Source organism: Homo sapiens, chromosome 1 (assembly GCF_000001405.40).
Source record: "Homo sapiens chromosome 1, GRCh38.p14 Primary Assembly".
NCBI classification, from domain to species: Eukaryota; Metazoa; Chordata; class Mammalia; order Primates; family Hominidae; genus Homo; species Homo sapiens.
This window is the reverse complement of record NC_000001.11, coordinates 154120795-154146963: the sequence shown is the minus strand read 5'-3', so window position 1 is coordinate 154146963 and position 26169 is coordinate 154120795. Positions and strand designations below refer to the sequence as shown.

General features: G+C 42.3%; 1 protein-coding gene across 8 annotated transcripts in view; it reads left to right on the top strand.

Moving 5' to 3' along the window:
- NUP210L (nucleoporin 210 like) overlaps positions 1 to 26169 on the top strand; it is a 162427-nt gene that overhangs the window by 8153 nt on the left and 128105 nt on the right. For 7 of the 8 annotated variants that reach the window (XM_011510123.2, NM_001159484.1, XM_017002788.3 and 4 more), the window contains exons 3-10: positions 3387 to 3518; positions 5440 to 5533; positions 7012 to 7162; positions 8726 to 8858; positions 10992 to 11150; positions 17619 to 17687; positions 19547 to 19653; positions 20501 to 20641. In XM_011510123.2, coding sequence (XP_011508425.1) covers positions 3387 to 3518; positions 5440 to 5533; positions 7012 to 7162; positions 8726 to 8858; positions 10992 to 11150; positions 17619 to 17687; positions 19547 to 19653; positions 20501 to 20641 — 986 coding nt within the window. The remainder of the gene's footprint in view (positions 1 to 3386; positions 3519 to 5439; positions 5534 to 7011; positions 7163 to 8725; positions 8859 to 10991; positions 11151 to 17618; positions 17688 to 19546; positions 19654 to 20500; positions 20642 to 26169) is intronic. The other variant, XM_011510122.2, reaches the window with a different exon arrangement.

The window sequence follows — 26169 nt, the reverse complement described above, 5'->3', positions numbered from 1 at the left end:
TAATCCCAACCACTCAGGAGGCTGAGGTGGGAGGATCACTTGAGCCCAGGAGTTCGAGGCTGCAGTGAGCTATGATTGTGCCACTGCTCTCCAGCCTCGGTGACAGAGTGAGACCCTGTTTTTAAAAAAGCAAAACAAAAATAAAGGAAGGAGAAGTGACCTTTGCCTCTTGGAAGGAGGAGTGCCAAAGGATTTGTGCACATGTATTAACCACTGCAATAACTAATAAATATTTGAGGGAGATACTTTCATGTATCCTGTTTCTCCTTGAAGCTTTACCCACTGATTTTAGTGTTTATCCATGAATCTTAGTACTGTGATGCTCTTTTTTTGGTGGGGGGGGGAGGGGGGATGGGATCTTGCTCTTGCAGTGGCATGGACTCAGCTCACTGCAGCCTTGACCACCCAGGCTCAAGCGATTCTTCCACCTCAGCCTCCCACGTAGCTGGAACCATAGATGGGTGCCACCATACCTGGCTAGATTCTTTTTATTATTTGTAGATATGAGGTCTCACTATGTTGCCCAGGCTGATCTTGAACTCCTGGGCTTAAGCGATTTCCTTCATATATTCCATACTTATTAACTAGTATTCTTCTGAAAGAAAGATGTCTTACATCTTACAAACAACTTCTTCCCAGTTAATTTATTCAATTATTTATGTCAGTATGGGTTCATGAGTATTTATTTAATTTGGGGGCTATATTTCAATGTTATAATTTATTCTGTTATTCAGGTTTTTCCAGCTTTGGCCACTGGGGGCTCTTTCAGGTTGGCTCCTATGTCCTTTGTCCTTATCTTTTCTTTAATTTTTGTGATTGATTGATTGATTGTGCTTTCTTACTTTTTAGTTCTATGAGATGGGCCAGGGTCATCTTAGCCATTTCTTCAAGGAGTCCTGGTTCTTTATATTAAAGAATTATATTTAGTGCCTGTAATCTCAGCGGTTTGGGAGGCTGAGGTAGGAGGATCGCTTGAGGCCAGGTGTTCTAGACTAGCCTGGGTAACGTAGCAAGACTCCATCTCAACAACAACAAGAATTATATTTAGAAACCAAGATCTGGGTGCCAGTGTGCTTGTTGCTACTGGTGTATCCACTGCTTCTAGGCCCTCTCAGCAACATAACTAGGAAATATATGTATATATGCTAACTCCTGTATACACATATATCTACACTTATTTCTATATCTATCTGCATAGATATTAAAATAAACATGAGCTCATACTGATATCTTCAATTCTAATCTTGCACCTTAGGGTTTATTCTAGCCTTCCCACCTTGCTTATTGTAACTTCTTTCTCTGACAGGGAGAAAAGTGACTTTCATTATCTATGACGTATTTACTTATTTGTTCAATTCTGTTGTCTATATAAAGTAATTTCAGGATGAGTAATTCAATTTTTAATGTTTCTGTTGAAAGGAAGCATGCCATTTCCTGAAATAAGCATACTTTATTGCATCTTAGCCCTTGTTGAGGGCCATTTACCTGTATTATCCTATTAACATTCTCCTTTGATTTTTTTTTCAATGTTTAATTTTTTTTTTTGTAGACGGAATCTCGCTCTGTCACCCAGGCTGGAGTGCAGTGGCACAATCTTGGCTTACTGCAACCTCTGCCTCCCAGGTTCAAGCAATTCTCCTGCCTCAGCCTCCCGAGTAGCTGGGACTACAGGCGTGCACCACCACGCCCGGCTAATTTTTGTATTTTTAGTAGAGATGGTGTTTCATCATGTTGGCCAGACTGGTCTTGAACTCCTGACCTCAGGCAGTCTGACCGCCTTGGCCTCCCAAAGTGCTGGGATTACAGGCGTGAGCCATCACGCCCAGCCAATGTTTAATTTTTAATTTTTTGTTTTTTTGAGACAGTCTCACTCTGTCACCCAGGCTGGAGTGCAGTGGCATGATTTCAGCTCACTGTAACCTCTGCCTCCTGGGTTCAAGCAATTCGTTTGCCTCAGCCTCCTGAGTTGCTGGGACTACAGGCGTGCACCACCATGCCCGGCTAATTTTTGTATTTTAATAGAGACGGAGTTTCACCATGTTGGCCAGGCTAGTCTCAAACTCCTGACCTCAGGTGATCCACCTACCCTGCCTCAGCCTCCCAACGTGGTGGGATTAGAGGCGTGAGCCACTGCACCCGGCCTCTCCTTTGATTTTAAAATTCCTTAAAAGCAGATCTATGGTTAGGGACAGAGTTTATCCCTGATGTTTACTGGTAATTTGGGGTCATTGGAAAGTGGTCGTAACTTTGCTTTTTGGTTTTTTTGGATGAAGCTAAAACTAAATGTTACAATAGTAGAATGGAACAGCTATATAGACAGTTCTCAAATACATGGCAAATGTGGTAGGAAAGAGTGCTGTTAAAATATAGTGGTACAAAACAATTTTTATTTCATTCTCATTTTATTCTGTACTGTTTCAATTAGTGTTTCTGAATTTCATTATGGGTATATTGACTAGAACTCTGGTTGGACTGGGACTCTAGCTAGATCTAATACGGTGGTTCCCAGGCTTTTTAATCTCATGGCCCACAAGAAAAAATAACTGAAAGAAAGGAAGACAGAAAGAGACAGAAAAGTTTATTGATAGGACTGACTTACAGTTGCCACTGTTTTACTTTCCTAAATAAATACATTTTAAAAAATCTACTAAACACCATTATTTCATAAAAGAAAATTTTTTACCATTTTAAAAGTAAGACGTAGAATAAAGTATAATCCTTTAATACGACTACAACTTTATTTTATTATTCACTTTTTATTTTTTATTTATTTATTTATTTTTGAGACAGAGTCTCACTCTGTCGCACAGGTTTGAGTGCAGTGGCGTGATCTCGACTCCCTACAACCTCTGTCTCCTGGGTTCACACCTTCTCCTGCCTCAACCTTCCGAGTAGCTGGGACTACAGGTGCCCGCCACCACTCCAGGATAATTTTTTTGTATTTTTAGTAGAGACGGGGTTTCACCGTGTTAGCCAGGATGGTCTTGATCTCCTGACCTTGTGATCTGCCCACCTCAGCCTCCCAAAGTGCTGGGATTACAGGCATGAGCCACCATGCAAGACCTATTATTCGCTATTTTAAAATTTTTATTTGTTATCAGGATCTTGAAGAATTTGGAGAAAAATATTACAATTTTTATTTTTCTTATTTTTCCATGGATGAGTAGAAACATCATAGATCAGTGTTTTGGAATCTCTGGTCTAGTGCCTCTTGTTATAAAGAAAGGCTCTTATATCTTATTATTATGCTATTTTCTTCCATAGGTAAAAGCAGCAGTCATAGTCTTTCTTTTTCATAATCTTTAGAATACAGTTTTGAGTATTTGAGACATTTAATAGATTCATGACCTATTGAATTAAATACTCAGTTTTTGGGTTCATTGTAGTGACTGACCATGAGCTACGCTGTGATGTTAAGGTTGATGTGATAAACAGCATTGAAATTGTATCTCGGGCCCGGGAACTTTATGTAGATGATTCGCCACTGGAACTGATGGTGAGGGCATTGGATGCTGAAGGTAAAGAACTTCAGAGGATTCAACAAAATTACCTAAAATAAAGTAATATCTGTTTATGTTTAGCACTTGGAAACAAAAACTTGAGTGGCAAAAGTAGATTAGAAGTAATATCTATTTTCTCATTTGGAGCTCATAGATGAATAATAATTCTGAGTATAATTTAATGTATTAACTACACGTTTTCATAAAATATTCCTGCTATTGTTAGTTATCTCAGAACTTTTCCTTTCTTTTTTTTTTTTTTGGGCAGGGGGAGGGGAACAGAGTTTTGCTTTTGTTGCCCAGGCTGGAGTACAATGGCATGATCTTGGCTCACTGCAACCTCTGCCTCCTGAGTTCAAGCAGTTCTCCTGCTTCAGCCTCCTGGGTAGCTGGGATTACAGGCCTGCGCCACCACTCCCGGCTAATTTTGTATTTTTAGTAGAGATGGGCTTTCACCATGTTGGTCAAGCTGGTCTTGAACTCCTGACCTCAGGTGATCCACCCGCCTTGGCCTCCCAAAGTGCTGGGATTACAGGCGTGAGCCACCGCGCCTGGCCACTTTCTTTTTTTTTTTTGAGATGGAGTCTCGCTCTGTTGCCTAGGCTCAAGTGCAGTGGTGCGATCTTGGCTCACTGCAACCTCTGCCCTCCCGCTTCAGGCGATTCTTGTGCCTCAGCCTCCCAAGTAGCTGGGAATACAGGCACGCGCCACCACACCCGTTAATGTTTGTATTTTTAATAGAGACGGGTTTCACCATGTTGACCAGGCTGGTCTCGAACTCCTGGCCTCAAGTGATCTGCCTTCCTCGGCCTCCCAAAGTGTTGGGATTACAGGCATGAGCCACCGCACTGGCCTCCGAACTTTTCTTAGATACCCAAATCTACCACTGAGCTTCTGTTGATGGGCCCTAGATCAACAATGAAGAACACTTTTTGGAATTTATTGCTAGCTCTGTTTGATCAATCCACTTTCTATAGACCAGGAGAATTAAATGTAAATCTGTAAAAAAGTTACAATCTTGATCTAATCTTTAATGCTTTTAATACTGTATACTATATTAATGCTATAATGAGGTATTAAAAAACACTTAGGTAGTAAAAAAAAAATTTAGGTGGGACGTGGTGGCTCATGCTTCTAATTCTAGCACTTTGGGAGGCCGAGGTTGAAGTATCCTGTGAGGCCAAGTTTCCCATGGTTAATTAAAAAAAAATTATAATGTATTGCCACTTTCTTTGTTAATTACATGAGTGATTTGTTTTTTTAATCTGAAAAATGAACTATTCGGGAATTCTGGAAGCTTTTTTTTTTTTTTGGATACAGAGTCTGTCACTCAGGCTGGAGTGCGGTGACACAAGCATGGCTCACTGCAGCCTTGACCTCCCAGGCTCAAGCAATCCTCCTACCTCAACCTCCTGAGTAGCTAGGACTACAGGTGCAGGCCACCATACCTGGCTAAGTTTTTATTTTACAGACCAGGTGTCACTATGTTGCCCAGGTTGGTCTCAAACTCCTGGGTTCCAGCGATCCTCCTGCCTTGGCCTCCCAAAGTGCTGGGATTACAGGTACAAGCTATTGCACCGGGCCTGGAAAGTTTTTACAAAAATTTGTGTGGAGGGGACCAGGATTAAGGATGCTTTGTCAACCATGAGGTGGCCTTTATGTAGAAAGGAACAGGAGCATGGCATAATTATTGTCAACCAGAAGTTAATCAGCTTGAGCCCTTTTTACTTTCAGACAGCTTGTGCAGCAACATCATTTATTGTTTGTGTAGGGAACTTTCTCATATATATGTTTTAATTCATTAATGATAGTGCTTTCTATTTCTTAATGAAAGAGGCTTCAAAGTAATTTTCTAGTTAGGTTTCCCTTTCTTGTTGTAAATACCTGAATATTTTTAAATACGTGATCCTATCTTGTCTGCTTTTGGCTTGCTCTACAGGAAATACTTTTAGTAGTTTGGCAGGGATGATGTTTGAGTGGAGCATTGCCCAGGACAACGAGTCAGCAAGAGAAGAACTGTCTAGCAAAATTAGGTAAACTTGAAACCAAACATAAATCATCTGACTATGAAGAAGACATCTGCCATTAAGCGGCATGCTGAACAAGCAACCATTTGTGTGGACTTTGATGACCCTGCTATCTACTTTTTTGAAACTGATAAATTACTGAGAGAAATGTCTTTGATAGAATGAAATATGACATAGATGTAGGTACCTTTATGATCGCTTAATCTGAGTTATTATGGAGGAGTTCATGGGCTAAGTACTACACAATTATTTGAGCCAGGTATATCTTCTGGAAATTCTTTTTGTTCAAGCTACCTGCACATGCTGGAGTAGAGGGAGAAGGATGATAGTATGAAATTTTGTCTTCAGTACCAAGGAGTAGATCTCAGATCCAAGTTTTACTCCCACCACAATTTTAGCCAGAGGCTCATAAATCCCTTTCTTTTTTTTTTTTTTTTTTCTTCGAGATGGAGTCTTGCTCTGTCTCCCAGGCTGGAGTGCAGTGGCGTGATCTTGGCTCACTGCAACCTCTGCCTCCCGGGTTCACGCCATTCTCCTGCCTCAGCCTCCTAAGTAGCTAGGACTACAGGAGCCCGCCACCACGCCCAGCTAATTTTTTTTGTTGTTGTTGTATTTTTAGTAGAGAACAGGGTTTCACTCTGTTAGCCAGGATGTTCTCAATCTCCTGACCTCCTGATCTGCCCACTTTGGCCTCCCAAAGTGCTGGGATTACGGCGTGAGCCACCGTGTCTGGCCTTTTCTTTTTCTTTTCTTTTTCTGTTTTTTTTTTTGAGATGGAGTCTTGCTCTGTCACTCAGGCTGGAGTGCAGTGACACGATCTCGGCTCACTACAGCCTCCACCTCCTGGGTTCAAGCGATTCTCCTGCCTCAGTCTCCTGAGTAGCTGGGACTACAGGTGCCTGCCACCACGCCCAGCTAATTTTTGTATTTTTAGTGGAGATGGGGTTTCGCCATATTGGCCAGGGTGGTCTCAAACTCCTGACCTCAAGTGATCCACCCGCCTCTGCCTCCCAAAGTGCTGGGATTATAGGCGTGAGCCACTGCGCCTTGCCTTTATCTTTTTCTTTTTCTTTTTTTTTTTTTTTTGAGACGGAGTCTTGCTCTGTCACCCAGGCTGGAGTGCAGTGGCACAATCTTGGCTCACTGCAACCTCCATCTCCTGGGTTCAAGTGATTCTCCTGTCTCAGCTTCCCAAGTAGCTGGAATTACAGGCACATGCCACCACGCCCGGCTAATTTTTGTATTTTTAGTAGAGATGGAGTTTTGCCATGTTGGCCTGGCTGGTCTCAAATTCCTGACCTCAAGTGATGTGCCCGCCTTGGCCTCCCAAAGTGCTAGGATTACAGGCGTGAGCTACCATGCCCAGTCAAAAGTGTTTTACATTCTATAGACATTGAAGAAACTATGTTTAAAGTCTCTTAGGGACTTTTGGAAGAACCCTTCGTTTAATTCTGCTAGAAACACATTTTATTTTATGTCTTTAGGATTCTTAAATACTCCGAAGCAGAATATGCTCCCCCAATATATATAGCTGAGATGGAAAAAGAGGAGAAACAAGGAGATGTGATTTTAGTGTCTGGGATTAGAACTGGTGCTGCTGTTGTAAAAGTTCGAATTCATGAACCATTCTATAAGGTAAAAAGTTTGTGTGCTATAAATTTTCCTTACTTGTTTTTTCAAGATATGGTCTAACTCTGTTGCCCAGGTACTACAAGAATGCACTACCCGCCCTGTTTTTTTTTTTTTTTTGTTTGTTTGTTTGTTTTTGTAGAGACAGACAGGGTTTCACCAGGTTGCCCAGGCTGGTCTCAAACTTCTGAGCTCAAGCAGTCTGCCTGCCCCAGTCTCCTAAAGTGCTGGGATTACAGGCGTGAGCCCACACAACTGGCCAGTGTTATAAATTTTTCATTTAATAGTCTTGCCTATGGAAAATATAGTTTTTTATGTTTATCTATAGTAGAAGCCCTCTAGTCTGATGTGATTTGGGCCAATAGTTGGTCATTTAATTGAAAAAGTTATTTGAAGTAGGTAAGCATTAAACAATTATCTTAAACATTTTATTGCCTGATTACAATTACAAATGTGACTGGCATTTTCTCTTAAAATATATAACTACATTTTATTCACCAATCCTTGATGTAGGTGCAAGGCCTTTCTTTGACCATGAGTTCACTGATTTGAAATCTACATACACTTTCTCCAATAAACTACAGTTTCTAATTTCTTCCTTTTTTGGGGTGGGGGGGTTTCAAGTGATTCTTGTGCCTCAGCCTCCCGAATATCTGGGATTACAGGTGTGTGTCACCATGCCCAACTAATTTTTGTATTTTTAGTAGAAACAGAGTTTCACCATGATGGCCAGGCTGGTTTCAAACTTCTGGCCTCAAGTGATCCACCTGTCTCGGCCTCCTAAAGTGCTAGGATTACAGGCGTGAGCCACCACACCCGGCCCTAATTTCTAGTCAAGTAAAAATTTAGATGCAGGAAGAATTTGTGTGCAAAAATTTATATTTTAAAGGATTTTCCCTAATATTTTACATTTCTCACTTATACCTAATTGATAGTATATATTAGCAGCTTGCCTTTAACTTTTTTTGACACATTTAAATTTTTAATAGAAATAACAGTTCTCTTTTCACATGTATAGTTTTTGTTTTAATGTGATTATAATTATAAGCACAACTTGCATAAATAGGTTTGGGAAAAACAAATGTTTTTTGGTAAGCATTTAATTCAATGGCAAGAACATGAGTGTGTGGACCTCCTAGAGAGAAGCCTACCAACCTTGCATTGGGTAAATCTTCATAAAAATCAATGTGTTCAACAGAGAGTGGAAAGTAACTTAATCTGGCAAGTCAGTTAATTGGAGGTTGGCTAAAAGAATTTCTGTGTTCTACAATTGAGTCTTACCTTTTCTCATTTCAGCATACTTGACTTTTTATTTACCTACTTTTTTTCTTTTAGAAGACTTTTTTGTTCTAAGTCTGAGTATCTTAGAAAGTTAATAAGGTATTAAGATTCATAATCACTTTTTAAGGCTAGCTGAAATTATGACTTGTGATTAGGAAAGCTTTTAAAAAAATCTTTATAAAAAATTTTAAAAGAAGTTTAAAAGAAGTAAGCTTTTAACAAGAAAGATGACTGTGAGGGTTCCGTCCATGGAAACTGTTTTTTTTTTTCCTTCCCTCCCTCTTTTAGAAAGTGGCAGCAGCCTTAATACGTCTGCTTGTTTTGGAGAATATATTTCTTATACCATCCCATGATATTTATCTCTTAGTAGGAACATATATTAAATACCAAGTTGCAAAAATGGTTCAAGGGAGAGTGACAGGTAAGGTGATTTATTTTTTCTCCTATGACTCACATTTCCCAAATCTTTTCTGCTGACAAGATCAGCAACTCCACATTACATATGAAAAATACTTGTGTTTTTAGATTTTGTGGTAAAGTGTTAATTGCTGTACTTAACTAATATTAGACAGAAATAGCCCCATATCTTGAACATATTAATGGCATAGTTAGGCTGCTTAGCTTCGGTGCCAATAGGCATCTGAATTCTCTATTAAAACAACAACTAGCCAGGCATGGTGGCTCTCGCTTGTAATTCCAGCTACTCTGGAAGCTGAGGCAGGAAGATTGCTTGAGGCCAGAAGTTGGAGACCAATCTAGGCAACAGAGCAAGATCCCCATATCTTTATTATTTTTTTATTTTTATTTTTTTGAGATGGGGGTCTCACTCTGTTGCCCAGGTTGTAGTACAGTGGCATGATCATGGCTCATTGCAACATTGAACTCCTGTGCTCAAGTGATCCTCCCACCTCAGCCTCCTGAATGGCTGGAACTACAGGTTCCTGCCACCATATCAAGCTCTTTTTTTTTTTTTTTCTAGATGTAGTCTCTCTCTGTCACCCAGGCTGGAGTGCAGTGGCATGATCTCGGCTCACTGCAACCTCCACCTCTGGGTTCAAGCAGTTCTCCTGCCTCAGCCTCCCGAGTAGCTGGGATTACAGGTGTGCACCACCATGCCCAGCTAATTTTTTGTATTTTTAGTAGAGACGGGGTTTCACCATGCTGGCCAGGCTGGTCTCAAACTCCTGGCCTCATGATCCATCTGCCTCAGCCTCCCAAAGTGCTGGGATTACAGGCGTGAGCCATCACTCCCGGCCTCTTTTTTTTGTTAGAAATGGGATCTCATTATGTTACCCAGGCTGGTCTTGAACTCCTTGTCCCAAGTGATTCTCCCACCTTGGCCTCCCTCCCAAAGGGCTGAGATTATAGGTGTGAGCTACTGTGCCAAGCTGAGACCTCATCTCTAAAAATAACTAAATAAATAAAACAATTAAAGCTTTACTAGCTTTTGAAGGGCAAGTTAAGACACTTTACCAGAAGGGACCTGAATGAGCATTGCAATGATCTTTGCAAAAGTTGTTTCTTGAGAAACTCAATTCATCGACTGAAAGCTTAATATTCTGTTGATACTAAAAGTTACATTGAGCTTTTTTTTTTTTTTTTTTTTTGAGATGGATTCTCACTCTGTCGCCCAGGCTGGAGTGCAGTGGCATGATCTCGGCTCACTGCAACCTCTGCCTCCCAGGTTCAAACGATTCTCCTGCCGCAGCCTCCCGAGTAGCTGGGATTACAGGAGCCCGCCACTACGCCCAGCTAATTTTTTGCATTTTTAGTAGAGATGGGGTTTCACCATGTTGCCCAGGCTGGTCTCGAACTCCTGACCTCGTGGTTCACCCACCTCGGCTTCCCACGGTGCTGGGATTACAGGCGTGAACCACCGCACCTGGCCTAAAAGTTACATTGAGCTTTTAAAGTATGTATTGGCTCCATTAACGTTAATCTTTTTCTTACTAATGATGACCCCTCCTGCTACTCAGTTCACTAGTTTTTAAGAATACAAGCAAAACCAATTCTTTCTTTCTCTCTCTCTCTGTATATATATATTTTTAATTTTTATTTATTTATTTATTTATTTTGAGACGGAGTTATGCTTTGTCGCCCAGGCTAGAGTGCAATGGTTTGATCTCAGCTCACTGCAACCTCCACCTCCCAGGTTCAAGCGATTCTCCTGCATCAGCCTCCCGAGTAGCTGGGATTACAGGCACACGCCATCACGCCCGGCTAATTTTGGTATTTTTAGTAGAGACGGGGTTTCACCATGTTGGCCAGGCTGGTCTCGAACTCCTAACTTCAGGTGATCCACCCGCCTTGGCCTCCCAAAGTGCTGGGATTACAGGCGGAGCCACCACACCCAGCCTCCAGCAATATATTTTAACTCATATACTCCCCCCAAATGGTTACATGTAGAAATTCATCATAGCAGGAAAAACATTAGAAGCAGATCATACTCTTATTTTATGTCTGCTTCCTGATCATTCCTTTATGATCAAGAATACATCATTATCTACTGGAATGGCTGCTGTCATTACATTTATGTATCTTTCATGTCTTACAGAGGTGAAATTTCCCCTGGAACATTATATACTGGAATTGCAAGACCATAGAGTTGCACTTAACGGGTCTCATTCTGAGAAAGTGGCTATACTGGATGACAAAACAGCCATGGTGACTGCCTCACAACTGGGCCAGACTAATCTTGTCTTTGTCCATAAAAGTATCCTTTTGTTCAAGTTTTAGCTGCCAGTCTACACTTCCTTGAGCATCCTAGACATGTTCTTTGGTAAAATAATTTATTAAGAATGATTATGGCCGGGCGCGGTGGCTCACGCCTGTAATTCCAGCACTTTGGGAGGCCGAGGCGGGCTGATCACAAGGTCAGGAGATCGAGACCATCCTGGCTAACACGGTGAAACCCTGACTCTACTAAAAATACTAAAAATTAGCCAGGCGTGGTGGCGGGCGCCTGTAGTCCCAGCTACTCGGGAGGCTGAGGCAGGAGAATGGTGTGAACCCGGGAGGCAGAGGTTGCAGTGAGCCAAAATCGTGCCACTGCACTCCAACCTGGGCGGCACAGCGAGACTCCGTCTCAAAAAAAAAAAAAAGATTATAATACTACTACAGTGTTTTCCTATAGGTTTTATTTTTAATAAAGAATTATAAGTTATTACTGTCATAATTTCTAGCAGAGTAAGTAGAGAAAAGGAGTATAGTTGGAACTTGGGATCTACTAACTTCAATGCTTATTTGCAACCTCAATCAAATTGTAATTAGGGAAATAAAAAAACTGTAATTAGGGGAATGGGGAAAACGGAGTTTGGAAGAACATGTGAGAATTTTATTTAATTCTCTTTTCTATTTGTACATGATAATTGAGAAAATATGCTATTGTCTCCAGTAGATGTTTAACTAATATTTTTATTGTGTTGAGAGCAATTTTTAAAAATTCACTAAACCTGCTATGCAAGGATTGAACAAAGAAAGGTACACAGAGGCCGGGCGTGGTGGCTCACGCATGTAATCCCAGCACTTTGGGAGGCCGAGGCCGGCTGATCACCTGAGGTCGGGAGTTTGAGAACAGCTTGACCAACATGAAGAAACCCCGTCTCTACTAAAAATACAAAAATTAGCCGGGCGTGGTGGTGCATGCCTGTAATCCCAGCTACTCGGGAGGCTGAGGCAGGAGAATCGCTTGAACCCCCGGGAAGTGGAGGTTGCGGTGAGCCAAGATCGCACCACTGCACTCCAGCCTGGGCAACAAGAGCAAAACTCCATCTTTTTTTTTTTTTTTTTTTTGAGACGGAGTCTCGCTGTCGCCCAGGCCGGAGTGCAGTGGCGCAATCTCGGCTCACTGCAGGCTCCGCCCCCGGGGTTCACGCCGTTCTCCTGCCTCAGCCTCCCGAGTAGCTGGGACTACAGGCGCCCGTCACCTCGCCCAGCTAATTTTTTGTATTTTTAGTAGAGACGGGGTTTCACTGTGTTAGCCAGGATGGTCTCGATCTCCTGACCTTGTGATCTGCCCGCCTCGGCCTCCCAAAGTGCTGGGATTACAGGCGTGAGCCACCGCGCCCGGCCTGAAACTCCATCTCAAAAAAAAAAAAAAAAAAGGTACACGGAGATCTGTAATAGTCAATGAAAACAGAAGAGAATGAAGATTTAAATTCTCAGAAAATTGAAATATGATTTGGACTCCATCTCTCTGTGTTTTATTTGGTATTTTTTTTGAATATTTTAATCTGAAAGAAATTCATTCAGCAAATATCTATTATATTTCTACTATATGCTCAACATTGTTCTAAGCTCTGGGTATACAAATTGCCATTTTGTCCAGTATAGTTAGATTCTTAAAATATTATTATTATTATTATTATTTTTTTTTTGAGGTGGAGTTTTGCTCTTGTTGCCCAAGCTGGAGTGCAGTGGCGCGATTTCTGCTCACTCCCACCTCCGCCTCCCAGGTTCGAGTTATTCTCCTGCCTCGGCCTCCTAAGCAGCTGGGATTACAGGTGTGCGCCACCATGCCCGGCTAATTTTTGTATTTTTAGTAGAGATGGGGTTTCACCATGTTGGCCAGGCTGGACTTGAACTCCTGACCTCAGATGATCCACCCACTTCGGCCTTCCACAGTGCTGGGATTACAGGCATGAGCCACTGTGCCTGGCCAAAAAATTATTATTTTTGTAGAGACAGGGTCTCACTCTGTTGCCCAGGCTGGAGTGCAGTGGTGCAATCTTGGCTCTTGGCTCACTGCAACCTGTAAACTCCAGGCTCAAGTGATCCTCCCAGCTCAGCCTCCCAAGTAGCTGGGACCACAGGCACGTGCCACCACGCCCAGCTAATTTTTGTATTTTTTTATAGACACAAGGTCTCGCCATGTTGCCCACACTGCTCTTGAACTCCTGGACTCAAGCGATTCACCTGCCTTGGCCTCCCAAAGTGCTAGGATTCCAGGCATGAGCCACCACACCCAGCCAGATTTTTTTTTTTTTTTTTAGAGATAGAGTCTCACTCTGATGCCCAGGTTAGAGTGCAGAGGCATGATCATAACTCATAGTAGCCTTGAGCAATCCTCCCACCTCAGCCTTCTGAGTAGCTGGGACTATAGGCATACACCACCGTGCCATACTAATTGTGTCTTTTTTTGTAGAGATGTCTTGCTAGGCTGAGTAGGCTGGATGAACTACTGGCCTTAAATGAACCTCCTGCCTAGGCCTCCCAAAGTGCTTGGATTACAGGTGTGATCCACCACACCCAGTCTTTACCTAGCATAGTTAGAAAAGTCCTCTCTGATGAGGCGACACTGGCACAATAAGCCATGTGGATAATTGGTGAAAGACTTCTAGGGAAAGGAAAGAGCAATGGCAAAGGTTCTGAAGTAGGAACATATTTGGCATGATTAAAGAAGAGTAAGGAAGACAGTGAAGCTAAAGTGCAGTGAATCAGGAAATAGTAGAAGTAATAGAGTAGGGGAGGGGCAGATTAGGTAGGGCCTAGTAGGCTTACTCTGAATAAGAATGTCTCTACTTTGGGCACACTGTCTATAGCGTAGCCCTGCTCCAAAAGGAGCAGTACCTCTGCTACTCCACTTCAAGAAAAGTTGCCAACACCAAAAAAATTCTATCAGACTTGAAAGGTACAGTATTTCTTGTATAATATTGTTAGTTAGCAGCCTATATTATTTGTCTAACACACATTAAGGAGAGTTATTGATCCAATGTTGTTTGCTTTTTAGTCATTTTAAGGTACCTAGGACATTTTTCAACAAATACAATCATACCTACAAAATAAATTAAGTTATTCAATATTTATTGAGCCCCAACTGTGTGTCAGGAACTTCCCTGAATTCCCCAGGTGAACTTAAATGTTCTTTTTTTCCCCCATATTTTCAGTTCATATTGTTATTTTTTTCCAAAGTATCAAATATTAAAATACATTGTATTTGTCTGTTTATTTATCTTTTTTGAGGACATGGATGGTGACTATTCATAATATGTCCCAGCACCTGGCATAGAGTAGCTGGTGGAACTGTTCATGGAGATGGAGAATATAAGAGAAAGAGCAGTTTTAAGGAAAAAGATAGCGAGTTCAGTTTTTCACATGTTAAATTAAAACATCAAAACTGTGGGATAGATATCCAAGCAGAAATTTTCATTATGCCTCCGGAGGAGAAAGATTGAGGATCAAGATAGATCCTCAAGGATCAAGAAAGATTGAGGATCAAGATAGATATTTGAAAGTTAGTTTATAGATAGGTGATAGTTGGAGCTATTGTAGACAAAATCACCTAGGGAAATTATATACAGTGAGAGAATTTGGCCAAAGACAAAATTGTGTAATGCTAGCTTTTAAGGTTCGTATGGGAAAAGAGAACGTGTGAGGAGGATCTGAAGGAATGCTTAAAATGTAGTATTATAGAAAAACCAAGGATGGGCACAGTGGCTCATGCCTATAATCCCAGCACTTTGGGAGGCTGAGGCAGGTGGATCACTGGTCAGGAGTTTGAGACCAGCCTGGTCAACATGGAGAAACCCCATCTCTACTAATAATATAAAAATTAGCAGGGCGTGGTGATGCACGCCTGTAATCCCAGCTACTCGGGAGGAACTCCTGAGGCAGGAGAATCGCATGAACCTAGGAGGCAGAAGTTGCAGTGAGCCGAGATGGCACCACTGCACCCCAGCCTGGGCGACGGAGTGAAACTGAGTCTCAACTAAAGAAAAAAAGAAAAAAGAAAAAAAGAAAGAAAAACCAGAAAGAGGAGTTTCCTGATAACCAAATTAGGAATTTACAAAGAGGAGAAAACTGTTCAACAGGTCAAATCTGGTAGTGATGTCAAGATAAAGACTGAAAGGTTGTAGTAACTAGGAGGTCTTAGGTCACTTTGTCAGTAAAAACAGCTTGGCTTTCATAAGGACAAAAACAAATAAGTTTGAAAAAGACACAACGAATACTTTTTTTTTTTAAGATTGGAAAAACTTGAACATTTCTCTTAATATTTCTCTTAATTAAAGAGAGAAAGATGGCAGAGATAAGGGAGAAAGGAGAGCCAGTTGATGGAGCATGTTTTCTGAGAGGCAACAGAAAATGAGATTTGGAATGCAGATGGAAGGCTTAGATCTTATTCTGATATCTTATTCCGATATCAGAAGAATGAATTGTTTTAGAGATCTGTTGAGATGTTTCCTCATTTGTAAAATGAAGTGAATGTTGTTATTGCTGACTTTCCTTCTAGCTCTTTTCTTTTCTTTTTTTTTTTTTTGAGATGGAGTCTCGCTCTGTTGCCCGGGCTGGAGTGCAGTGGCGCCATCTTGGCTCACTGCAAGCTCCACCTCCCGGGTTCACGCCATTCTCCTGCCTCAGCCTCCCAAGTAGCTGGGACTACAGGCGCCTGCCACCACGCCTGGCTAATTTTTTGTATTTTTTTTTTTAGCAGAGACGGGGTTTCACCGTGTTAGCCAGGATGGTCTCAATCTTCTGACCTCGTGATCCACCCGTCTCGGCCTCCCAAAGTGCTGAGATTACAGGCGTGATTCACGACGCCCGGCCCTAGCTCTTATATGTTATGAATATTATGGTAAAGTACATATCAGAACTAAACCTAACTTTGGCACAGAGTTACCATAAAGTATTTAGAAGATTTGCTTTAGGCCGGGCACAGTGGCTCATGCATGTAACCCCAGCACTTTGAGAGGCTGAGGCAGGAGGATTGCTTGAGTCCAGGAGTTTAAGACCAGTCTAGGCAACATAGTGAGACCCCTGTCTCTACAAAAAGTAAAAGGTTAGCCAGATGTGGTGGTGCAGGCCTATAGTCCCAGTTACTCAGAGGCCTGAGGGTAGGAGAATCGCTTGAGTCCAGGAGTTAGAGAGGCTGCAGTGAGCTGTGATTGTACCACTGCACTCAGCCTGGGTGACAGAGTGAGACCCTGTCTCAAAAAAAAAAAAAAAAAAAAAAAATTGGGGCCAGGCGCAGTGGCTCACGCCTGTAATCCCAACGCTTTGGGAGGCTGAGGCGGGTGGATCACCTGAGGTCAGGAGTTCGAGACCAGCCTGGCCAACATGGCAAAACCCTGTCTCTACTAAAAATACAATAATTAGCTGGGCGAGGTGGTGCGCGCCTATAGTCCCAGCTACTTGGGAGTCTGAGGCAGAAGAATCGCTTGAACATGGGAGGCAGTGGTTTCAGTGAGCCAAGATCATGCTGTTGCACTCTAGCCTGGGTGACAGAGTGCAATGGCGCAATCTCAGCTCACTGCAACCTCTGCCTCCTGGGTTCAAGCAATTCTTCTGCCTCAGCCTCCTGAGTAGCTGAGATTACGGGTGCCTGCCACCACACCTGGCTAATTTTTGTATTTTTAGTAAAGACAGGGTTTCACCATGTTGGTCAGGCTGGTCTTGAACTCCTGACCTCAGACAGTCCACCCACCTCGGCCTCCCAAAGTGCTGGGATTACAGGCATGAGCCACCGTGCCTGGCCAGTTATGTGTTTCTCAGAGCAGAAGTAATTTATTCTTAGCTTTTGGATGTAGTATATTTTTGAGAACAAAGCATATTCTTAATTAGATTGTATATAGACTGATACTGGAATAAATTTATATTTCTGCCAGGATTATCTGAAATGGTAGTGGTAGAATGAGGTATAAGTGACCCAGAAGTATCTTTGATGGCATGCAGAGAACATTTTGGTATTAAACATTTACTGCAAATAACAGAAAATCAACTAGTAATTTTGAAACTATCTGTGGAGTTCTAGGCATGTTGCTGGATGGCAAGTCATGCCTCTCCCTCTGCCTCCATCAACAGTTCATCCCTTTAGCCAGAAGGTCTCTTCCTCCAGAATGGAGCCACTTCGTCCTGTTTCCATACTGGGCTCCTATGTAGGTATTTATTTGGAGAAAGGGGTCTGCAGCTACGTTAATATTAAAAGCACAAAGCATGATCTTTTTTCTCCCTTTCTATCTTCCTCAAATTGAAATTCAAGAATATCTGACTCATAAGATGACTAAGAGTCCCTCAGACTTTTTGCAGAAGTATACACATTTAAGTTTTGGCTTTCCAAAGGATAATAAAAGATAGGATTTTTGTTTGTTTTCATTTGTGCATTTGTTTGTTTGTTTGTTTTTCTCCTTTGGTACCTCACCTTTTCACCCAACTCTGGCTCACATGATTTCCTTAAGCAAAAATTAAGATGTTCATATGCGATCTGTGTCTGGACTCCCAAATTGCACCATATATGTTGTAGAGCCTGGATTTTTAGGTATTTTAGATCATACTTTTCAGAAAGGTGGATAGCTTAAATGATTTCACTAAAATGAGTGCATTATACAGCATTTCTTCAACTTTCAACTTTCATTCTGGGACTTAATTTCAAATTCAACCTTACTTTGACATGTTTTATCAAATTGTTCTGATTAAATGCTATCACAAGAGTGAAGCATGTTGAAACAGATTGTGAAAAAAATATGAAAATCCATGTAATACAATTTTGAGTTTAGGAAAAGAAACTTTATACAAGGAAAAAAGAATCTTAACGCTCATAGGCCATATGAAAACAATGAATCTGACTGAAAGAAGCTGAAATATTGCCTGACACATTAGGAATGAGCTGAAAGTATGGTTTCTTCTTGTCTACAGATATAAGTGAAAGTGTTTCTTTTTTTTGTTTGTGTTTGTTTTTGTTTTTGTTTGAGACAGGGTCTTGCTCTGTCACCCAGGCTGGAATGCAGTGGTGTGATCTTGGCTGACTGCAACCTCTGCCTCTCAGGCTCAAGCAATCTTCACACCTTAGCCTTCCAAGTAGCTGGGACTACAGGTGCGCCACCATGCCTGGCTAATTTTTGTTTTCTGTAAAGATGGGATTTTGCCACATTGCCCAGGCTGGTCTCAAACTCCTGAGCTCAAGCGATTTGCTCTCCTCGGCCTCCCAAAGTGCCAGAATTAGAGGTGTGAACCACCATGCCCAGCCTAAAGTGTTTCTTTATACCTGAGATGAGCTAAATTAAACCAGGATTTTTGGAACCCTAAATTATTATACAATTTTTTCTTTTTGGTCTGAATCAGTGTCTGGCTCTGTTGCCCAGGCTGGAATGCAATGGGCTACAGCCCACTGTAGCCTCCAATTCCTGGGGTCAAATGATCCTTCCACCTCAGTCTCCTGAGTAATGGAACTATAGCCGCGAGCCACCACGTTCAGCTAATTTTTAATTTTTTTGTAGAGATGGGATCTTGCCGTGTTGCCCAGGCTGGTCTCAAACTCCTGGGCTCAAGCAATTCTCCCTCCTTGGCCTCCCAAAGTGCTAGGATTATAGGCATGAGCCACCAGGCCAAGCCTTATACAATTTGAGAGAAGGAACTAAAAGATCTACTTTGGAGAGCTGGGTGCAGTGGTTCATGTCTAATTCCAGCACTTTGGGAGGCTGAGGCTGGTACATCCCTTGAGCTGAGGAGTTCGAGACCAGTGTGGGCAACATGATGAAACCCTGTCTCTACTATAAATGGAAGAATTAGCCAGGCGCAGTGTTCTAAGCCTGTAGTCCCAGCTACTCAGAAGACTAAGGTAGAAGGATCACCTGAGCCCAGGAGGTCGAGGCTGCAGTGAGTCATGATGACACCACTGCACTCCAGCATCTGTGACAGTGAGACCCTGTTTCAAAAAATAACAACAAAAAAATCTACTTTAGACCAGGCACAGTGGCTCAGGCCTGTAATTCCAGCACTTTGGGAGGCTGAGGCAGGCAGATCACTTGAGGCCAGGAGTTTGAGACCAGCCTGGCCAACATGGCAAAACCTCATCTCTACTAAAAATACAAAAATTAGCTGAGCATGCATGGTAACGCACACCGATAATCCCAGTTACTTGGGAGGCTGAGGCACAAGAATCAGTTGAACCCAGGAGGCAGAGGTTGCAGTGAGCCGAAATCATCACTGCACTCCAGCCTGGGTGACAAAGCAAGACTCTCAAAAAAAAAAAAAAAAAAAAAGAACCTACTTTGGAAACCATCTCCATCTATTAGTAAATTTTGCTGTTTGAACAGCTTTATAAAGGTTGTATTTTTAAATTCGTTGTAGAAAAATGTTAGCCTCTTCTAATATTTTTGTTTCTTGATTTGTGTATAGGTTTCACTGTCCAACCTGGAAACCGATGGAGTCTAGAGGTGGGACAGGTATATGTCATTACAGTAGACGTCTTTGATAAAAGCAGCACAAAGGTCTATATTTCAGATGTGAGTCAGTCTTTTTTATTTTTCTGAGCTCCTTGTAGGGATAAGATACATAAGATGTAAAGTGGACCATCTTCCTGGCTAGAAAGCCCTCTTTCTTTCTTTGATTCTAGATTTTTACCTTCGGAAAAGCAAGTTGCTAATTTATTATTATCATTAATTCTCTTCTTCTTCTTCTTCTTTTTCTTCTTTTTTTTTTTTTTTTAAAGAGACACAGTCTCGCTCTGTCACCCAGACTGGAGTACAGTGGTGTGATCATAGCTCACTGCAGCCTCCAACTCCTGGGCTCAAGCAATCCTCCTGCCTCAGCTGGGATTAAAGGCATAAGCAACCATGCCCAGCTAGTTCTGTTCTTGAGGAATGCTAAATCAGAAGTAAAAGATATAATTTGGTCAGAATTATAGAAAAGAGGTGAAATGAGTACCAGTGATAACACTTTGGAAGGTGTCCTCATTCTACAACTTCACATCCTAGATGGTTACCAGAGTTTTGTAGTGGTGAGAGTAGTAATATGAATATCAGATGTGAAGTATTGTACTCACTCTCTAGGGTCCTTATTTCATCCTGAGAACTGTCAATTTATAAAATGGTAAAAATTACACTAAAATTTGCATAAGCTTTGACTCTTGCTATTCCTGATGTTTGCCATTGATAGATCTTTCAAAAACTAGTCCCATTTTAAAATTATATCTCCCCAACTTTTAATTTCTATGAGGGAGAGCAAAAGTTTTGTTTTTATCTCTTTATTCCATGAATGCATAGCTACAGTTTTATAGATGCTTTGGGATTAAGATGACTTCAGGGAAAGAACATATCTTCAGGTTTGTGTTACTGTGGGGCTGATTTTCAGAATCTCAGGATTACATACGACTTTCCTAAGGAGTACTTTGAAGAGCAACTAACTACCGTGAATGGATCTTACCATATAGTAAAAGCCCTGAAAGATGGTGTTGTGGTAATAAATGCATCCCTGACCTCCATCATTTACCAGGTAGGAATTAAACAGACAGTGTTTGTATTCTAAGAACACTGAAGAGGCTTGGCTGACTTGTTGATTTGCAAGCAGATATATAGCATATACCACCTTTATCTTTCAGAAAAATAAACAGATAAACAGCAAATTCGTAAGTGTATACCTCTACAAATTTTCTGTTCTAATCTATGTTATTGTACATTAAAATATCTGCATTTGCGGTCATTGTGTATATATCATTTGGGGTTTCAGGTTTCATTAAAAACATTTCTTGGCCGGGCGCGGTGGCTCACGCCTGTAATCCCAGCACTTTGGGAGGCCGAGGCGGGCGGATCACGAGGTCAGGAGATCGAGACCATCCCGGCTAAAACGGTGAAACCCCGTCTCTACTAAAAATACAAAAAAATTAGCCGGGCGCGGTGGCGGGCGCCTGTAGTTCCAGCTACTTGGGAGGCTGAGGCAGGAGAATGGCGTGAACCCGGGAGGCGGAGCTTGCAGTGAGCCGAGATCCCGCCACTGCGCTCCAGCCTGGGCGACAGAGCGAGACTCCGTCTCAAAAAAAAAAAAAAAAAAAAAAAAAAAAAAAAACATTTCCCTCCCTCCCTTCCTTCCTTCCTTCCTTCCTTCCTTCCTTCCTTCCTTCCTTCCTTCCTTCCTTCCTTCCTTCCTTCCTTCCTTCCTTCCTTCCTTCCTTCCTTCCTTCCTTCCTTCCTTCCTTTCAGAGAGGGCCTCATTTCATCAGCCAGGATGGAGTGCAGTGGTGCACTCATGGCTCACTGCAGCCTGGACCTCCCAGGCTCAAGCAATCCTCCCACCTTAGCCCCCCAAGTAGCTGGGACTGCAGGCACATGCCACCACACCTGGCTAATTTTTGTTTTTGTTTAGTTTTTCGAGGCAGAGTCTCACTCTGTTGCCCAGGCTGGAGTGCAGTGGCGTGGTCTTGGCTCACTGCAACCTCTGCTTCCTGGGTTCAAGCGATTCTCCTACCTCAGCCTCCTGTGTAGCTGGGGTTATAGGCATCCACCACCATGCCTGGCAAATTTTTGTATTTTTAGTAGAGACAGGGTTTCACCATGTTGGCCAGGCTGGCCTTGAACTCCTGACCTCAAGTGATTCACCCGCCTCACCCTCCCAAAGTGCTGGGATTACAGGCATGAGCCACCACAACCGGCCACACCTGGCTAATTTTTAAATTTTTTGTAAAGAAGGCGTTTCACTGTGTGGCACAGGCTGGTCTTGAACTCCTAGGCTCAAGTGATCCTCCCATGTCAGCCTCCCAAAGTGCTGGGATTATAGGTGTGAGCCACTACACCCAGCCATGATGTATTTCATATGCACATTTCCATGTGTCATCAGGTCCACAGAGCGTACTTTATTTTTCTTTTTTTGGAGACAAGTCTCACTCTGTCACCCAGGCTGGAGTGCAATGGCATCATCATAGCTTACCTGCAGCCTCGACCTCCTGGGCTCAAGTGATCCTCCTGCCTTAGCCTTCCAAGTAGCTGGGACTACAGGCGTGTGCCACCACACCCAGCTAATTTTTATATTTTTTGTAGAGACAGGTTCTTGCTATGTTGCCCACAATGGTCTCAAACTCCTAGGCTCAAGTGTTCCTCCTGCCTTGGCGTCCCAAAATGTTGAGATTACAGGTGTGAGCCACCACTACCAGGTGCATAGAGTACTATTAATTCTAAAAATCCAAAGGTTTCATATGCCAATTTATTTACCCATGCCCCAAACATTGAATGTTTCCATTATTTCCATTTTTTTTACTGTTGTAAATGGCATAACTGAGTATCTTTGTACATTTTTTTTCTTTTGGATTATTTCCATACTGTGTAACAACAGAAATGGAGTTATTGAGTAAAGGGATAAGGAATGAATCTGTTTCTAATGCCTCCAAAATACATAAGTATCCTGATTTTTACTAGCCTGCCAAACCTGCTTTCCTCTCCCAAACCTACTTTTTCTCCAATGCTCCTTTCACTCAGTTTAGACAAAATCCGAAGTCACCCTTGACTCTGCCTTCTCCCTCAGCTTCTGTATTCAATACATTATTAAGTGCCATGTCAATTCTAAATGCCAGTCAAATCTTTTTTTTTTTTACCATCCCCGTTGTGCTCTCTCTCTCTCTTTTTTTTTTTTTTTCTTTTTGAGATGGAGTCTCACTCTGTTGCCCAGGCTGGAGCGCAGTGGCGCGATCTCAGCTCACTGCAACCTCCGCCTCCTGTGTTCATGTGATTCTCCTGCCTCAGCCTCCCAAGTAGCTAGGACTACAGGCGTGTGCCACCACGCCCGGCTAATTTTTGTAATTTTTTTTAGTAGAGATGGGGGTTTCACCATATTGGCCAGGCTGGTCTCGAACTCCTGACCTTGTGATCCGCCCACCTTGGACTCCCAAAGTGCTAGGATTACAGGCATGAGCCACCGCGCCCAGCCTCTCTCTCTCTTTTTTTTTTTTAATTGAGACAGTCTCACTCTGTCACCTAGGCTGGAGTGCAGTGGCACGATCTCGGTTCACTGCAACCTCTGCCTCCTGAGTTCAAGCGATTCTCCTGCCTCAGCCTCCCGAGTAGCTGGGAATACAGGATCATGCCACAATGGCTGGCTAATTTTTGTATTTTTAGTAGAGACAAGGTTTTACTATGTTGGCCAGGGTGGTCTCGAACTCCTGACCTCAAGTGATCCACCCGCCTTGGCCTCCCAAAGTGCTGGAATTGTAGGAGTGAGCCATGGAAACTGGCCCATTAATAACTTTTTAAACTTTTAATTTTGAAATTATTATAGATTTACCAGAAGTTGCAAAAATAGTATATAGGACAAAGAAAATGTACATATGGCTAATAGCACATTAAAAGATGTTCAGCATGATTAGTCATTAAGAAAATGCAAATCCAGATGGGCGAGTTGGCTCACGCCTATAATCCTAGCATTTGGAAGGCCCAGGCGGGTGGATCACTTGAGGTCAGGAGCTTGAGACCAGCCTGGCCAACATGATGAAACTCCATCTCTACTAAAAATGCAAAAATTAGCTGGGCGTGGTGGCGCGTGCCTATAATCCCGGATACTCGGGAGGCTGAGGCAGGAGAATAGCTTGAACCTGGGAGGCGGAGGTTGCAGTGAGCCGAGGTTGCGCCATTGCACTCCAGCCTGGGCAACAAGAGCGAAACTCCGTCTCAAAAAGAAAAGAAATACAACTGACATTGGAGTGTTGATGTTGTATATGGCAACTTCGCTGAATTAATTTATTAGCTCTAGTAGTTTTTTGTGGTTTTTTTTTTTTTTTTTTTGAGACAGGGTCTCACTCTGTTACCCAGGGTGGATTGCAGTGGCACCATCATGGTTTACTGCAGCCTTGACCTCCTGGGCCCAAGTGATCCTCCTACCTCAGCCTCCTGAGTAGCTGGGACTACAGGTGCATTCCACCACTCCCAGCTAATTTTTTTGTAGAGATGAGTTTCACCATGTTGCCCTGGCTGGTCTCAAACTCCTGAACTCAGGTGCTCCACCCACCTCAGCCTCCCAAGGTGCTGGGATTAGAGGTGTGAGCCACTGCACCTGGCCCTGGAACTGCCATACTGTTTTCTACAGTAGCTGCACCATGTTACATTCCACCAGCATTGTATAAGTGTTCCTATTTCTCCACATCCTTGTCAACACTTGTTATTTTCTGTTTTGTTTTCTTTGAGACGGAGTTTTGCTCTGTTTCCCAGACTAGAGTGCAGTGGCACAATCTCGGCTCACTGCAACCTCCACCTCCCGAGTTCACACCATTCTCCTGCCTCAGCCTCTGAGTAGCTGGGACTACAGGCGCCTGCCACCATGCCCGGCTAATTTTTTGTATTTTTAGTAGAAACGGGGTTTCGCTGTGTTAGCCAGGATGGTCTTGATCTCCTGACCTCATGATCTGCCTGCCTCGGCCTCCCAAAGTGCTGGGATTACAGGCGTGAGCCACCGCGCTGGGCCTGTTTTGTTTTTAAATAATAGCCATCCTAATGGGTAATAAGTAGTATCTAACTATGGTTTTCATTTTCCTTTTCCTAATGATCAGTGTATGGGAAGTTTTTAAACTATGAATTCAATTTTAAAAATATATATACAGCCATTCACATGTTATTTGGTAGTTTGTATCTTTGAAGGAATTTGTCCATTTTATCTAAGTGGTTGAATTTATCACATAAAGTTGTTCAAAATATTGTTTTACTAGTCTTTTGTTGTCTATAAAATCTGTAGTGATGTCCCCTTATTAATTCCTGATATTGGTCATTTATGTCTCTCTTGTTTTCTTTCTGAGTCTGGCTAGAGGTTTATAAATGTTATTGAGTTTTTCAAAGAGCAACTGTTGGTTTCATTGACTTTTCTCTATTTGTCTGTTTTCTATTTCATTCATTTATGCTTTTGTATTATTCTCTTTCTTTTGCTTCGTTTGGATTTAATTTGCTTTTCTTTTTAAAGTTTCTTTTTCTTTTTTTTTTTGAGATGGAGTCTTACTGTTGCCCAGACTGGAGAGCAGTGGAACGATCTCGGCCCACTGCAACCTCCGCCTCCCGGGTTCAAGTGATTCTCCTGCCTCAGCCTCCCGAGTAGCTGGGATTACAGGCGCCCGCCACCATGCCCAGCTAATTTTTGTATTTTTAGTAGAGACGGGATTTCACTATGTTGGCCAGACTGGTCTCAAACTCCTGACCTCAGGTGATCCACCCGCCTTGGCCTCCCAAAGTGCTAGGATTACAGGCGTGAGCCACCGCTTTCAGCCTTTAAAGTTTCTTATGGTGGAAGAACTTTATGATGGATCATTGGGTTATATCTTTCTTCTTTTTTAATATAAGCACTTCTGCCATATTCTATTGGTTATTCAGACCAATCCTAAGACAATGTATACTACATAATGGGGACTACAGAAGGGGGTGAATACCAGGAGTCAGAAATCTTTGGGGGCCATCTTTTAGTCTAGTTATCATAGATAGGTGCTCCAAATTCGTTCTGGGTTCCCTGATATTAGACTTAAATGATTTAATGAACCTGTTTCCAGTAATAAAGTGAGCACTGCTATTCCATGGCATGCAATAGCAAAACAGCTGTTTAAATTATTACCTGTAGACACACTCCAGTCAAGTGCATAGAGAAGGCAAAGCTTTAGGTAACCAACTGGTTGCTCCCCTAAAACATTACAGTGACAGTAAGGGATTTAATATGATTGATCATTGTTGCTAAATGTGCTGGATAGTGTGGGGAAAGAAAATGGTTACATCAGGGCTTTAAATTCCCAGCATGAGATCCCCATAAGAGATCTAAAAGTTTCTCTGACTATCCTTGAAGAAGATCTCACTACCAGATTATTATACCTTGTCTGCAATCATGTGATTAAAATCAACAATAAAGGGATTTTTAAAGTACATATTTATAAATTTAATAATGCACTACTTTTTTTTTTTTTTTTTTTTTGAGACAGAGTCTCGCCCTGTCTCCCAGGCTGTTGTGCAATGGTGTGATGTCAGCTCACTGCAACCTCCGCCTCATGGGTTCAAGTGATTCTCCTGCCTCAG